Source organism: Homo sapiens, chromosome 14 (assembly GCF_000001405.40).
Source record: "Homo sapiens chromosome 14, GRCh38.p14 Primary Assembly".
NCBI classification, from domain to species: domain Eukaryota; kingdom Metazoa; phylum Chordata; class Mammalia; order Primates; family Hominidae; genus Homo; species Homo sapiens.
Window position 1 is genome coordinate 52,249,879 of NC_000014.9, and position 16,364 is coordinate 52,266,242.

The window sequence follows — 16,364 nt, forward strand, 5'->3', positions numbered from 1 at the left end:
CTTTGCCTTATAAGCTTCTTGGAATTTCAAAACTATAAGTTTTGGGAAGCCATAGGCAATGCTTGAGGTTACCATAAGAGATCTACACATTTCCATTTCCATTTTCCCCGAAAACAACAGTAATGGGAAGAGGTGAAAACCAGGCATCTGCTAGTCCATACATACAACCTTATGTGAGGTGAAAGCACACCCTTTTCTATGGGAAGATGCAGCTCACCATGGGGATCATGGCTTAGGGAGCAGAGTTATTGGCGTGATTTCAGCCCCCACTCACTCCCTCAGACCATGATAGCTTTGTAGAGATTACAAGCCAGCCTCTAGTCAGCTCAGACTCTAAAGGGTCCAAAACAAAATTCCTCAGGTTATAATGGGGTTCAGGAAGAAACTATGAACAATTCCAACCATAACACTCAAAGGGAACTGATACTTTGAATAAACAACCAGACACAGGCAAAGCATGTCAGTCTCAAAGCAATCAGCTTCTCCTTCAATTCATTTACTAAGTTGTGCTTGTTTGAAACTCATGTTTTTAATTTCAGAAAATTTTTTTGAGCTACACTTGAATTGCCTTAAGGGCCTTTATTATTTTTGTTAGTTCAAATTACAACCAGTCCCATTCCATGGCTCTGGTGTGTTAGAGCCTGTTTTAGTAGTTCTTCCTCTCCACTGATGCTTGGCTCTTTGGGTTTGTTATTTCTCTTGGTGCTGCTCATAGAGACTCACTTTACGTATATTGCCTAGCAATCTGTGACGTTTTATAGCAGGCGCTTCCAGGAGGAACTTATTCTCTGCTCCCTGGTTTTCTCTTGCTCTCCCATGTTAGCAAGGTCTCATGCTTCTTCATTTCCTAAGGACCCAAAGAGTCTGGTGATGTTTCCCACAGCTGATGTTGCTCTTCCCTCAAGGGTCAAGGATTCCTTAAGCCAAACAATCCCAGCCATAAACACTCATGGTTCCTTACTCAAGGTTCTCCTACCGTTGTCTTCAAGCTCTCATTTGGACCATAGAGAAGGGAGCCCAGCTACACCTTGGTTTTGAAAATGATGAACTATCATTGTCATTATTGTTGTTGTTGTTTCCATTTTACAATGAACTCATTTTAAACCACAGATCCATTATTTCAATGGCTCAATCTTTTTCATTGTGGACCCCAAAGTACACATTTAACAAAGAATTCTTCACTGACCTTTCATTATTACATTTACCACTGATAGATGTGGTGAAGTCGGTACACCAAACATAAGATCTGCAAAATACATCTACTCAGAATATGAGTATGGAATTAACTATTGCCTTAATGGTTCTATTGGATTCTGTGGGTCTACATCACTACAATGTGCCATGTGGTAAAACAATTCTCCCACAGCTTTTCTTTGTTGGAACAAGGGTCCAACATTTCTTCTTATACTGTGCCATGACATCATAGGACCTTGGCACCAATGTGATTGTGAAGAGAAGCCCATGGGAACAGTAGTAGGTCACATTGACTACATGAGCCAGAAGAGATTTATGTACATGTTTAAAATTATTTAAATGAATAACATTAAAACTTCTTATGGAACTTGTTCATCTTTGGGATATGGGGGTCCAAGTTTGAGAAACTTGCAGTAAAGATTGCCCCTAAATGGTCTCTAGCCATGAGTCTCAGAGCCTACACTCAAAAGCCTTCCTAGTTTTAGAGTAGTTTGCATTCTTTAGAAGAAAAAAATATTTTTTATATACCCATGTGAAATGCTACCAGATTCAGTTCTGTTTTTAGATGTTTGCAGTTGACTTTATGGGATTTTCTTTTTTTATCAGCATTTTTCCTGGAGAAAAAAAAAATTGAATTGATACGCTAACTCATAACTTTCTTTTCTCAGTATCTTGAAAATATTAACTACCTATCTCCTACGCAAATTCTTAAGTACAAGCCTTTCACAAAGGCTCTAGAATTCAATTTTTTAAAGAGTTGTAATTCTTTTCCTTTTTTTGTTTTTTTTTCCTCCCATTCCCCCATCTCCTCACTGCTGACTGAAGTTTCAAACCTTGGGAAACCTCATTTGGAAAGACAAAAGAGCAGGAGGGAGCCTTCACTTACTTGTGGTTTGCAAATACTTTGCTTTTAATCTCATTGTAAATGCACATAAATAGATTCCTAATTTTCTTAGTTTCACTGTACCTAGTACATGATTGGTATGTGCTTCTATCCAGTGAGAAGCAGCTTAATTTTTTTCAAATCTGTAATAACTTTAGTTCATTTACATTTAATGGTATTCATGATATCTTTGTATATATATCTACCATCTTACTATTTTAATTGATCCCACTTGTTTTGTGTTTTTCCTTCTTTTGAATTTACTAAATATGTTACTGCATTTTCTACTTTATTATTATGTATTCTTTTACTATTACTTAGCAGTTACTCTACAGATTACAACATGCATTCTTTATTACTACATTGCATATATTAATATTTTAATCACCTCCTAGGCAATGCTAAAACCTTAAAACATCTTAACTCCATTCACTACCTATCCCCACCCAGAGCCTTTTGTGTTACTGTTGTTATGCATTTTAGTTTAACATATTTTTAAACTACACGAGACATGATTACTATCATTGTGTAGAGTGTACATTCATTTGGATTTATCCACATTTACTCTTTCTTTCCTGCATCTCTGTTTTTCCATCTGGGATCGTTTTCATTATGCCTGAGGAATTCCTGCTAGTATTCTTTTCAGTGTGAATCTTCTGGTACAGAATTATTTTAGCTTTTATTTGCTGGAAAATGTTCTTGTGTTTTCTTTTACTGGAAGAACATTTTCACTAGGTATAGAACTCCAGGCTGGGCGTGGTGGCTCACGCCTGTAATCCCACCACTTTGGGAGGCCAAGGCAGGTGGATCACCTGAGGTCAGGAGTTCGAGGCCAGCCCAGCCAACATGGTGAAACCTCATCTCTACTAAAAATACAAAAATTAGCCTGGCATGGTGGCACATGCTTGTAATCCCAGCTACTCAGGAGGCTGAGGCAGAAGAATTGCTTGAACCCGGGAGGCAGAGGTTGCAGTGAATCGAGATTGCACCATTGCACTCCAGCCTGGGCAGCAAGAGCGAAACTCTGCCTCAAAAAAAAAAAAAAGAACTCCAGGTTGGCACCCGGGGGTATTTCTCAAACCCCTGTCCTCACTCCCAGGATTTAAAAAACTTGCATTCGCTGGCAAATTTCTTTCCAGCAGACATCGGCACACTACTGCTCAGGCAGCTCTGCTGTCTATTTCCCCGCTATGGTGTCAGAAATACAGGTGCAAGACCCAGGAAGACTTTGCTTCAGGTTCTCTGACTTTCCCCTGGCTCCATCCCAAAGGCTCTTCCCAGGCTTTCATATACTTCACCTCCCTCTTCTCTTCACTACTTTCCCATTAATCTTCAGTACTGGTGACTTGCAATCCACATATACATTATTCAACAGTTTCTAATTGTTGGAAAGGTTTTGAGAAGTAAATGGGTATGTACTTAATTTTTGTGAAAAGAAATTCAAGGTTAAGAAGGGCTTGCTATATTTCAGACTAGATAACTGTATGAGTATTAAGTAATCTGACTTTCCATCTGATTACTAACTTGATTTGTCAGGGGAAGAAATGCTAGCTAGCTGCTAAAACAAACAAACTATTTATCTCAGAAGCCTAGCCCAATAGAATTTTACTTTGTACTCTTAGAGAGTTCATCTGGGTTTCCAGCGGGCAGCCTTCCATGTGGAAATCAGGAATGCTGCCTTCTTTAATCCCTGTACCTCTGAGGCCTCCTCTGCATTTAGCCAGCAGGAGAAAGAAGAGTGTAATTGGAGGCTTATGCAAGGCTGCTTTTCACAGGCTGAGCATCTAAGCGGTGCACATCAGTCTCACCCACATGCACGGGCCAGGACTCAGTCCATGGCCCCACCCAACTTTAAGAGAGGCCAGGAAATGTCATCAAGCTATGTGCCCAGGAAAAGGAAGAAACTGGTCTAGCAAGGAGTTAGTCTCTATCATAGTAATTAATAAGAATTCAATTTAAAATCATTGACTTTTTCCAAACCCAGCTCAAGAAGAATTATTTAATGTACACTTAATTTGTGCTCAAAATAACTCAGATATGATAAAAATTAACATAAACACTAAAGTGTAATTTATTCCTGTTAGTGGTGCTTTTTTTCTCCTTAACATTCATAAAAATAATAAAACTAATGGCTTTTAAATATTCCATGATAGACCGTAGAATTTTCACTAGTGTGGATCATTATTCCAAAATCTACTACATGTAGCATTAGGAGCAGCATAACCCCTGGTCTGTCCCAAGGGTTATTTTTCCATTCCCACCTTGAGGTCACGAGAAGTTAAAGGAACTGTGCTAAGGGACACTCATACTCACTGCAGTTGTACTGTCAGCTGTTCTTGGCCAACTGCCATCACCACCACCATCACCACCACTCTGACACCGCCTAACGATGCCTAAGAGCCTTCCTCACATTGGCTGCTCCATTCTTCTCCTAATTCTTCATACCCCTGACATTCCTTATTTTTAAGACAAACTCATCTCTTCTTCTTTGCCATTTCTGTTCAGTGACCATCTCTCCTCTTTTTATGAAGGTAGGGACCATATGTTTCCATGTTCACAGCTCTATCTCCAGTAATATCTGGTGGATTAACAAATGAGGCTATGTGGGATCAGCCAAAAAGTGAGGTACATGATGTACCTCACTTTTGTACCTCTCTTTTCACCTCAAAACATCTGTCTCTATATATACCATTTTCACATTCATAACTCCTGTCATGGAGATATGGAAATGATCTTTACTTTCTTTCTATGGCTTATCTTTTTTTTTTTTTTTTTTGAGATGGAATTTTGCTCTTGTCACCCAGGCTGGAGTGCAATGGTGCAATCTCGGCTCACTGCAACCTCCGCCTCCCAGGTTCAAGCAATTCTCCTGTCTCAGCCTCCTGAGTAGCTGGGATTACAGGTGCCTGCCACTACACCCAGCTAATTTTTCGTATTTTTAGTAGAGACGGGGTTTCACCATGTTGCCCAGGCTGGTCTCGAACTCCTGACCTCAGGTGATCTGCCCGCCTCGGCCTCCCAAAGTTCTGGGATTATAGGCGTGAGCCACTGCGCCCAGCCTTATCTCTTTAATATCATGTCCCATCCTAATATCTCTCAGCCTTCCTCCCTCAATCATCTCCTCTTTCTCTTTATGCTCTCCTTTTCCACTGGTTTTTCTTTTTTTTTTTCATCTAAAACAAGTCTGTTTGAAAAGCAAAGTACTTTCACAATATACTGTCAGTTCAGCCTTTTTGCTTCTAGAACACAAAGGACATAAAGTGCACAAGTATCTAAAAAAGTGCCTGGCTCAGAAAGCACATCAGTAGGTCTTTCATTTCACAGATTAGAAAACTGAAGCTCAGAGATTACAACTATATCCCCATAATCAAAAAGCAGTAATTTATATACAGCCAAGTCTCTCTACCAAATCACAAGACTCACCCAAGAAAAACTAAATGACACATTAATTGTTTAGTTTCTCAAACAAAAGTTGATGCACTCTCTGAATAGACCAATAACAGGAGCTGAAATTGTGGCAATAATCAATAGTTTACCAACCAAAAAGAGTCCAGGACCAGATGGATTCACAGCCGAATTCTACCAGAGGTACAAGGAGGAACTGGTACCATTCCTTCTGAAACTATTCCAATCAATAGAAAAAGAGGGAATCCTCCCTAACTCATTTTATGAGGCCAGCATCATTCTGATACCAAAGCCGGGCAGAGACACAACGAAAAAAGAGAATTATAGACCAATATCCTTGATGAACATTGATGCAAAAATCCTCAATAAAATACTGGCAAACCGAATCCAGCAGCACATCAAAAAGCTTATCCACCATGATCAAGTGGGCTTCATCCCTGGGATGCAAGGCTGGTTCAATATACGCAAATCAATAAATGTAATCCAGCATATAAACAGAGCCAAAGACAAAAACCACATGATGATCTCAATAGATGCAGAAAAAGCCTTTGACAAAATTCAACAACCTTCATGCTAAAAACTCTCAATAAATTAGGTATTGATGGGACGTATTTCAAAATGATAAGAGCTATCTATGACAAACCCACAGCCAATATCATACTGAATGGGCAAAAACTGGAAGCATTCCCTTTGAAAACTGGCACAAGACAAGGATGCCCTCTCTCACCACTCCTATTCAACATAGTGTTGGAAGTTCTGGCCAGGGCAATTAGGCAGGAGAAGGAAATAAAGGGTATTCAATTAGGAAAAGAGGAAGTCAAATTGTCCCTGTTTGCAGACGACATGATTGTATATCTAGAAAACCCCATTGTCTCAGCCCAAAATCTCCTTAAGCTGATAAGCAACTTCAGCAAAGTCTCAGGATACAAAATCAATGTGCAAAAATCACAAGTATTCTTATACACCAACAACAGACAAACAGAGAGCCAAATCATGAGTGAACTCCCATTCACAATTGCTTCAAAGAGAATAAAATACCTAGGAATCCAACTTACAAGGGATGTGAAGGACCTCTTCAAGGAGAACTACAAACCACTGCTCAAAGAAATAAAAGAGGATACAAACAAATGGAAGAACATTCCATGCTCATGGGTAGGAAGAATCAATATTGTGAAAATGGCCATACTGCCCAAGGTAATTTATAGATTCAATGCCATCCCCATCAAGCTACCAATGACTTTCTTCACAGAATTGGAAAAAACTACTTTAAAGTTCATATGGAACCAAAAAAGAGCCCGCATCGCCAAGTCAATCCTAAGCCAAAAGAACAAAGCTGGAGGCATCACACTACCTGACTTCAAACTATACTACAAGGCTACAGTAACCAAAACAGCATGGTACTGGTACCAAAACAGAGATATAGATCAATGGAACAGAACAGAGCCCTCAGAAATAATGCCGCATACCTACAACTATCTGATCTTTGACAAACCTGAGAAAAACAAGCAATGGGGAAAGGATTCCCTATTTAATAAATGGTGCTGGGAAAACTGGCTAGCCATATGTAGAAAGCTGAAACTGGATCCCTTCCTTACACCTTATACAAAAATCAATTCAAGATGGATTAAAGATTTAAACGTTAGACCTAAAACCATAAAAACCCTAGAAGAAAACCTAGGCATTACCATTCAGGACATAGGCATGGGCAAGGACTTCATGTCCAAAACACCAAAAGCAATGGCAACAAAAGAAAAAAATTGACAAATGGGATCTAATTAAAATAAAGAGCTTCTGCACAGCAAAAGAAACTACCATCAGAGTGAACAGGCAACCTACAAAATGGGAGAAAATTTTTGCAACCTACTCATCTGACAAAGGGCTAATATCCAGAATCTACAATGAACTCAAACAAATTTACAAGAAAAAAACAAACAACCCCATCAAAAAGTGGGTGAAGGACATGAACAGACACTTCTCAAAAGAAGACATTTATGCAGCCAAAAAACACATGAAAAAATGCTCATCATCACTGGCCATCAGAGAAATGCAAATCAAAACCACAATGAGATACCATCTCACACCAGTTAGAATGGCAATCATTAAAAAGTCAGGAAACAACAGGTGCTGGAGAGGATGTGGAGAAACAGGAACATTTTTACACTGTTGGTGGGACTGTAAACTAGTTCAACCATTGTGGAAGTCAGTGTGGCGATTCCTCAGGGATCTAGAACTAGAAATACCATTTGACCCAGCCATCCCATTACTGGGTATATACCCAAATGACTATAAATCATGCTGCTATAAAGACACATGCACAGGTATGTTTATTGTGGCATTATTCACAATAGCAAAGACTTGGAACCAACCCAAATGTCCAACAATGATAGACTGGATTAAGAAAATGTGGCACATATACACCGTGGAATACTATGCAGCCATAAAAAATGATGAGTTCACGTCCTTTGTAGGGACATGGATGAAATTGGAAATCATCATTCTCAGTAAACTATCGCAAGAACAAAAAACCAAACACCGCATATTCTCACTCATAGGTGGGAATTGAACAATGAGATCACATGGACACAGGAAGGGGAATATCACACTCTGGGGACTGTTGTGGGGTGGGGGGAGGGGGGAGGGATAGCATTGGGAGATATACCTAATGCTAGATGACGAGTTAGTGGGTGCAGCGCACCAGCGTATACATATGTAACTAACCTGCACAATGTGCACATGTACCCTAAAACTTAAAGTATAAAAAAAAAAAAAAAAGTTGATGCACACGGTACAGCCACTTCTTTTAAAAAGTTTGGCAGTTCTTTTGAGAGCTAAACATACACCTAACATGTGATACAACCATTTCACTCCTAGCTTAGCCAAAAGAAATGAAAGCACATGTCTGTATATTTCTGTAAAGACTTGTACAAAAATGCTCACAGTAGCTTTATTGTTAATAGGCAAAACTTATGAAGTTCAATATAGGTCAATAAAATTGTCTTTTTAAAAGTTCATGCACATACTTGATATTTGATAGAATTTCTTTCTCAATTGGTTTCAACCAAGTAAAAAGCTGCTTTTCACTTTTACTCAATAGAAGATGTTAAAAAACTTAACACAGCTCCTTCAGTAAATGTCTTCAGGTCATTGAAGGTCATCCCAGGTGACCCAATTGGTGTTTCCTTGCAACATTCTGATAAAAACTTCAACGTTACTGGAAGACATCTGGAGAGCTTCTTCTGCCTTTGTAATCATGGAGTCTGAGAAGTCCAATATACTGACACACTGGAGAATGAGGAAAGCCACTGGTGTATTTCAATGCAAGTTCCAAGGCCTGAGAACCAGGGATAATGGGTGAGTGGGGGTGGGGGGCAATTGGAGAAAGTTCTGGAATTCAAAGGTCCAAGAACCAAGAGTTCCAATGTTGGATGTCCCATGGGAGCGCTACTGTTTTTTCTTTGTTAGCCCTCAAAATATGAAGCTTTTGACCAATTTTTAAAAGATTCATTTTATCCCTCTGCTTCTCAAGCTTTTAATTTCTTTTACACCAAAATTACATTGCTCCCTCCAGTGACACATAACCCATGCACTCCATCTTCTGTGATCTGATAATTACCCTACTCTGTGCTCATAAAGGTCATCAGTGACTCCTCGTTGCCAAATTCAATGATCTTTTCTCAGTTCTCATTTTCCTTGATCACTCTGCAAAATCTGAACTATTGTATACTGCAGCAGAAACTGCTGGTTGACCACAAAATATCCCATTCCCCCTTTCTTCCTTATCAACACAATTCCAATTTTATTCAAGATGGTAATCTGTCCAACTGAAGGACAACATTCCCCAACCTCTCTTGCAGTAGAGATGGTCTTATGAAATGTAAGCTGACATGCTTATATTCATTAGGTTAATGCCCACTGCTGTAACAAATTCTAAATTCTCACCAGCATAACACAATAGTATATTTTTGCTCACCTATGTTCAAAATGTGTATTCCTGGTCACCAGTAAACATTCCACGTGGTCATTCTGGGGTCCACGGTCCTTTCATATATTTCTTCATCATTTTCTAAGACCTCAGAGTCCTCCACATCCAGCTTGCAGATGGGGAAAGGGGATGAACAGCAGCATGTGGGAGAAAAGAACTCAGCTATATGGTGATACATTACTGCAAGGGAGGCAGAAAAATGTAGCTTATGGGACTGCTCAAGAACAGGAAATGGATTTTGTGAGAAACCAGCTGGTCTCTGCTAAATGGCTAAGTCGTTCAACTAACGGATTCTAGCCCGGCCAGATCTGCAGGCGTGATTGGAACAGACCACAGTCACTGCTTCCTGACTGGGTGTATCCTAGGGCAGAAAACCTCACTCGATCAGTCCCTAAAGCCAAAGATCAGTGTTTCCTCTTCACTCTCCACCATAACAAGTGTATTATTCTTAACATCTTCTCTTCTTCTTATTGCTGTGTTAACCCACAAGTTAATTTTCACTTTTCCTTAATAAGAACTGTTCCCAATCACAATCACTCATGAGCTTTTACAGCTATGAAAAGTGAAGTTTGAGAAGTAAATACCAAGATAAAGAAATAAATTAATAAGTTGTCCATAAATTTGTAATTTAAAATTCCCAAAGAGAAGGAAAATTACATAATTTGACTGATGCTGGTTATTGTCCACAATGTTTTTTACCAAGTACAAAAAAGTACAGATGATGCTGACAAAATGCAGAGATCACAGTTGTCTCACTGCCCACATCAACAACTCTCTTGTTAGTTTAAATCACTCTGTAGAATCTAAATCAAAGTTCTCCCCAGCATTTGCTTACCATGTTTACAGCCTTAGATGAAGTTTGGTGTCTACTCTTGATCCATTGGTTAGAAGTGTCATACCTGTAGATTATCCTTCATCCAGCTCAGATTTCTGTCTAGTAGGAAGACAGTTTATCTGTATTTAAATTCAAGCTGATCATAGAAACATTTGTACCAGGTAATTTTCTCCTCCTGTCTCTCCAGTTTTATTAACAGTAATGATAATCATTCTCAAAGTTGGAAGTGTCCAACTCTTCCAATTGTTTATTCTCAAAGCTTTCTTGCTTTTTTAAAAAAAGTGTGTTTTTTAAATAATTTATCTTTCAAAAAATTTGCACCAGTTGATGTCATAGAGAAAAACAATCAATTTCAAAAGTCAATTTCAATTGTTTACTTTATGTCTTCCTCCAGAGCCACATTCAGGTATATAAAATAATTTTGAGTCCCAGACTTGTATTTGCATACAATTTGTGTTTATTTAACCTGGGCTCTCTGCTTGGTGGTTGAACAGAAGAATACCTTTGCTTCTTAGATAAGATACCAAATTGTTTAAGACTCAAAAATAGTCTTTCAGGACATGGACAAATAGTAGAAGGTATTATCGTTATTCATTCATTCAGTAAACATTTATTGAGAATCTATTGTGTGTCTAGCAGTGTGTGCTGGGACACAGGGGCACAAAGTTGAATAAGGCATCGCCCCTGCCCTTGAGAGACTCACGCCCAACATGCAAACAAACACACAATGTCATACCGCAAATGTCCGGGGCATATGAGGGAATCCAAGGGACTGGGTAATGTAGGTTTGGAATGAGGGTGAGGAATTTCTGGGAAGAATCTGAAGAAGATTTCTGAGTGATCAGAGAGATGAAATAAAAATTGAAGACTATGCTGGGAAAAAGGTAAATCAAAAACAGTGATATTGTTTGAATATTTGTATGCACCAAACCTCATGTTGGAATTTAATCCCCAACGTTGGAGGTGGGGCCTGGTGGGAGGTGAATGGATCATGGGGGCGGATCCCTCATGAATGGTTTGGCACCATCTGCTTGGTATTGTCCTCAAGATAGTGAATAACTTCTCATGAGGTCTGGTTGTTTAAACATGTGTGATACCCTCCCCCCTCTCTCTCTTGCTCCCACTCTTACCCTGTGACATGCCTGCTCACCCTTCACCTTCCTCCATGAGTAAAAGCTCCTTGAGGACTCCCCAGAAGCCAAGCAGATGTCGGCACCATGCTTCCTGTATAGCCTGCAGAACTATGAGCCAATTGAAAAAATGCTCATCATCACTGGCCATCAGAGAAATGCAAATCAAAACCACAATGAGACACCATCTCACACCAGTTAGAATGGCAATCATTAAAAAGTCAGGAAACAACAGGCGCTGGAGAGGATGTGGAGAAATAGGAACACTTTTACACTGTTGGTGGGATTGTAAACTAGTTCAACCATTGTGGAAGTTGGTGTGGCGATTCCTCAGGGATATAGAACTAGAAATACCATTTGACCCAGCAATCCCATTACTGGGTATATACCCAAAGGATTATAAATCATGCTGCTATAAAGACACATGCACATGTATGTTTATAGTGGCACTATTCACAATAGCAAAGACTTGGAACCAACCCAAATGTCCAACAATGATAGACTGGATTAAGAAATTGTGGCACATATACACCATGGAATACTATGCAGCCATAAGAAATGATGAGTTCATGTCCTTTGTAGGGACATGGATGAAGCTGGAAACCATCATTCTCAGCAAACTATCACAAGGACAAAAAACCAAACACCGCATGTTCTCACTCATAGGTGGGAATTAAACAATGAGAACACATGGACACAAGAAGGGGAACATCACACACCGGGGCCTGTTGTGGGGTTGGGGGAGGGGGGAGGGATAGCATTAGGAGATATACCTAATGTCAAATGACGAGTTAATGGGTGCAGCACAATAACATGGCACATGTATACATATGTAACAAACCTGCACGTTGTGCACATGTACCCTAAAACTTAAAGTATAAAAAAAAAAAAACCTCTGTTACTTATAAATTACTCAGACTCAGGTGTTTTTTTTCTTTTTTAAAAGTGTTTAATGTTGTCTGTCACGGTGAAAGTTATTTCTTTATAGCAACATAAGAACAACCTAACACAAACAGTATGAGTAAAACACAAATTAGTATTGGAATGCTGTGGCCTGGTCAGTGGCTTCACTTCCCTGGCTCACCAAAAAGGTGTTCAGGGAGGGTCCTTTAAACCTGAGGTAGGTATAGTGGGCCTTAAGGGCCCACAGCCTCTGAGTCTCAGGTGAGATGCCCAGCAGCACTGCTATCAGTACTGGACACTGTAATGTGCCACCCAGATCCCATTCAGGACTGAAAGGCTTATTCCCCGCGCTGTGGCACAGTCCTCAGCCATCAGCCCCCTCCATGTATTGCCTTGGCTGAGAGAGCTGCAGCACCCAAGGCTCTATGCCCTTCCCCAGGGCAACCTGCCCCCAGTCACTGGCCCATTCAGGGATACAAAAGCCTAGTATCCTTACCTTCAAGTGAGACAACTTTGAGGGGCCTTGTCAGCTTCTGAGTTTCCAGTCAGGTTAGTTAAGGTCTGTCATTGGAACTATCACAACCCAATTTCTCTACTCAATCCTGTTTCTGTTCCTTCTTTTTCACAGGTGTCAATCTCAAAAGCACTTCCTAATAAATACGCTACATATCCTATCCTCATCTCCATCTCAGAGTCTGCTTTTCTCAGGCAACCAAACCAGCCATAGCTGCCAACAACTTCCCTTGGAAGCTTATGCAAGCTGCTAGAAAAGCTCAGTAATCAGTGAACCCTCACAACCTGTCATCAGGTTACAAATGGATTATACCACCATTTATTTACTCTCAGGTCATCACCCAAAGACGTTTTCAAAAAATTCATGCTGATCTTTTGAAAGCGTATTTTCTCAAATTCCTACACATACAGAGATCCTGATCCTGATTTACACATGGACAGAAGCCAAAGATCAAAATGGAAATTCTTGCTAGGCAAAAGGTTGGGGAAGCCTGAAAAGCAGGAATAAGAATCAAACAAACATGAAGATTTTATTAAACTACCTGCAAATAGCAAACAGATGCCAAAATATTTGGGCAGACCACCACAAGACATTGTGTGACCCCAAAAACACAGGGCACTGACACATGGTCTGTCCCTGGTGGTAGTTCTGCCTCTTGACTTCTGAGCAGATAGAGGAAGTGGCAGGATCTCTCCTTTCTCTCTCACTCTCTGGTCTTCTCTGCAATTCTCTTTCTCCAAGGCAGAGGCTTGGGGAATCCAAAAGACCTGGATGCCAATTCTAGACTCATCACATACCAGTTGTGTGAACTTAAACAAGTTATTAACCTCTCTGAGTCTCATTTTCCTTATCCAAGAAAAGAGAGATAAAGAAAACTTCTGCAGTGCAGTTGGCAGGAATAAAAACATTAATGAACATCACTTACGGAGCCACGCAGAGCATGCCACAGCACAGTGCTTAACATTCTCACCTGAGCTGCACACAGGAATTAACTGGGGAGCTTCAAAAAAGATACTGAAGCCTGGAGGGCAACCCCAAAGAGTCTGATATCATCAATTTGGGGTGCTGAAGCATCACAAAGGTTTAAAGCTCTCCAGGTGATTCCAAAGTGCAGCCAAGATTGCTAACTATTGTTCTATGCAGATTATTTCATTTAAGCCAGATACTACCCTAAGAGTTCAGTCCAATTATCCCCCTTCACCCTCCTTCCCTCCTTTCTACAGACAAGCGGATTGAGGTTTAGAAAGGTTAGAAGATTATGCAAGGGTACACAGCTAGCAAGGGGCAAAGCTGAGATTTAAGTTCACACAGTATGACTCCCAGGACCTAACACATCATGGCCACACTTCTATGCTACCACTCCAGGTCCTGAATGTGAACGAACATCTAGCATGGTCTCTAGCATGCAGAACATGCTCCAAATTTGAGAGCTAAGTTTGTTTATCATTTGTTAGCATCCCTCCTCTCCATTCCTTGCTCTTCACAAGCCCCAGCCCAAAATATCACTTGGAGTTCAGTAGAAGTGAGCAATGGATAAGATTTAGAAGCATAGTTAGAATGGATCCAGAAAAAAATAAATGTTCCTTTTTCCTTCTTTTCCCCTTCCTAGATCCCCACCATAAGCATACATTTCTTGTATTAGTCTGTTCTCATGCTGCTAATAAAGACATACCTGAGACTGGGTAATTTATAAAGGAAAGAGGTCCAACTGACTCACAGTTCCACATGGCTGGGGAGGCCTCACAATAATGGCAGAAGGTGGATGAGGAGCAGTCACGTCTTACATGGCAGCAGGCAAGAGAGAACTTGTGTAGGGGAACTCTCCTTTATAAAACCATCAGATGTTGTGAGACTTATTCACTATCACAGAACAGCATGGGAAAGACCTGCCCCCATGATTAATTACATTTCATCAGTTCCCTCCCATGACCACATGGGAATTATAGGAGCTACATTCAAGATGAGACTTGGGTGGGGACAGAACCAAACCATATCACTTGTTTTACATTTAAAGTCTTTTAAAATAATTATTACATATACAACATTGAAAATATCAGAAACCAAGGAGATATTTTTCTGCCATCCCTTCTCAAGTCTAAGTGAATGTTTTCATTTGCCTATGTCAGCTTCTGAGCCTTGTCCATGAGAATCTATGATTTTTATGTTTATATTGCCATAATATAATTATATATTTAAAATAGTCATCCACATGATGTCATATATTTTCAGAAGATTTGTCCTATAACCCAATTAAGCAGCCTGGTACAGCTCTGTAGATAATGGAGGTAATTTTACCACTAACTTAGCCTAAGATATTTTCATTAAAGGTTTCCCTTTTAAGGAAAAAATGTACTTAGCCTGGTTACTCTGAAAGCTGATATAAAAATGTATAAGCCTGTAGAGGTCACACGACATGATGTTTGCCTTTCCTTATCTGTTGTATGCCCCTCAGTGCCCACATGCTTCATCCCCTCACCCCCATGCTTGGCACAGAGTAGGAGCGCAAAAACTATTTGACGCATGAACAAATGATACTTTTCTTGGTTGTATGGTGAAATTACAAAATAGAATTTCTCGGGAACTGGGACAGAAGACTCCAAAGTTAGGCCTGAGAACAGGGTAGGGTGGACACCAGCAAAGCAATCAGGAAAGGCAACCGGAAACCCCATCGTAAAGGCCAGCTACAGTGGCTGAGAGGAAACGTGTGGTTTCCTGAATTGCACTTGTTCAAAACCTTCAACCTTAAAGCATGATGTATGTAAACCTTATCAAGGACCCACAGCTGGCCCAACAGTCACACTTTGGGGTTGTTTTCTTTAAAAGGTATTTGTAATCTTAGGGTTCCTAGGATAAATACGGAGTTGTAAGCCACTGTAGCATGAAAATAAAGCTGCAAAGAATTGAAGTAGGTATGCTTCAGAAGAACAACCCATGCAATATTTTTAGAGGAAGGATTCTTAAGCTAGTGTCCATTGGGTCTCCTCTGGGTACCATAGAAGGGCTTCAGGAAATGGTGAACAGCCTGAGATTGATGTAAAGTGTGTGTGTGTGTGTCTGCGTGTGTGTCTGTGTGTGTGTGCCTGTGTGTGTGTGTGTGTCTGTCTGTCTATGGAGGAGACCACAGCTTTCATCAAATTCTCATGTCTTTTGGTTATGGGGCCTGCTCTTCCTTTCACTTCATTAAGTCGAGTGGGGCTCTTCTAAACCCATTCTTATGTGCTAGGGGCTAGAGATGGGAATGAGAGAGAGTAGGTAGAAGACAAGGGAACTAACTCTATACAAGGCCTTCTATTGAGTCAATATAAGTGAAAGGCTTAGAGAGTGTCCAACCTGCATCAGGACCAATAAATATTAGCTCTTATTATTATTATTACACTATGCCAAAGCACTTCAAGTTTTCTCAACCTCACAACAACCCCACAAGTTCAGCATAAGTCTCATATTCCATTAGGTTGAACAACTAACCCAGGGTCACACAGCCAGTGGTGGAGTTCAGAACTATCTAATTCCAAGCTTAG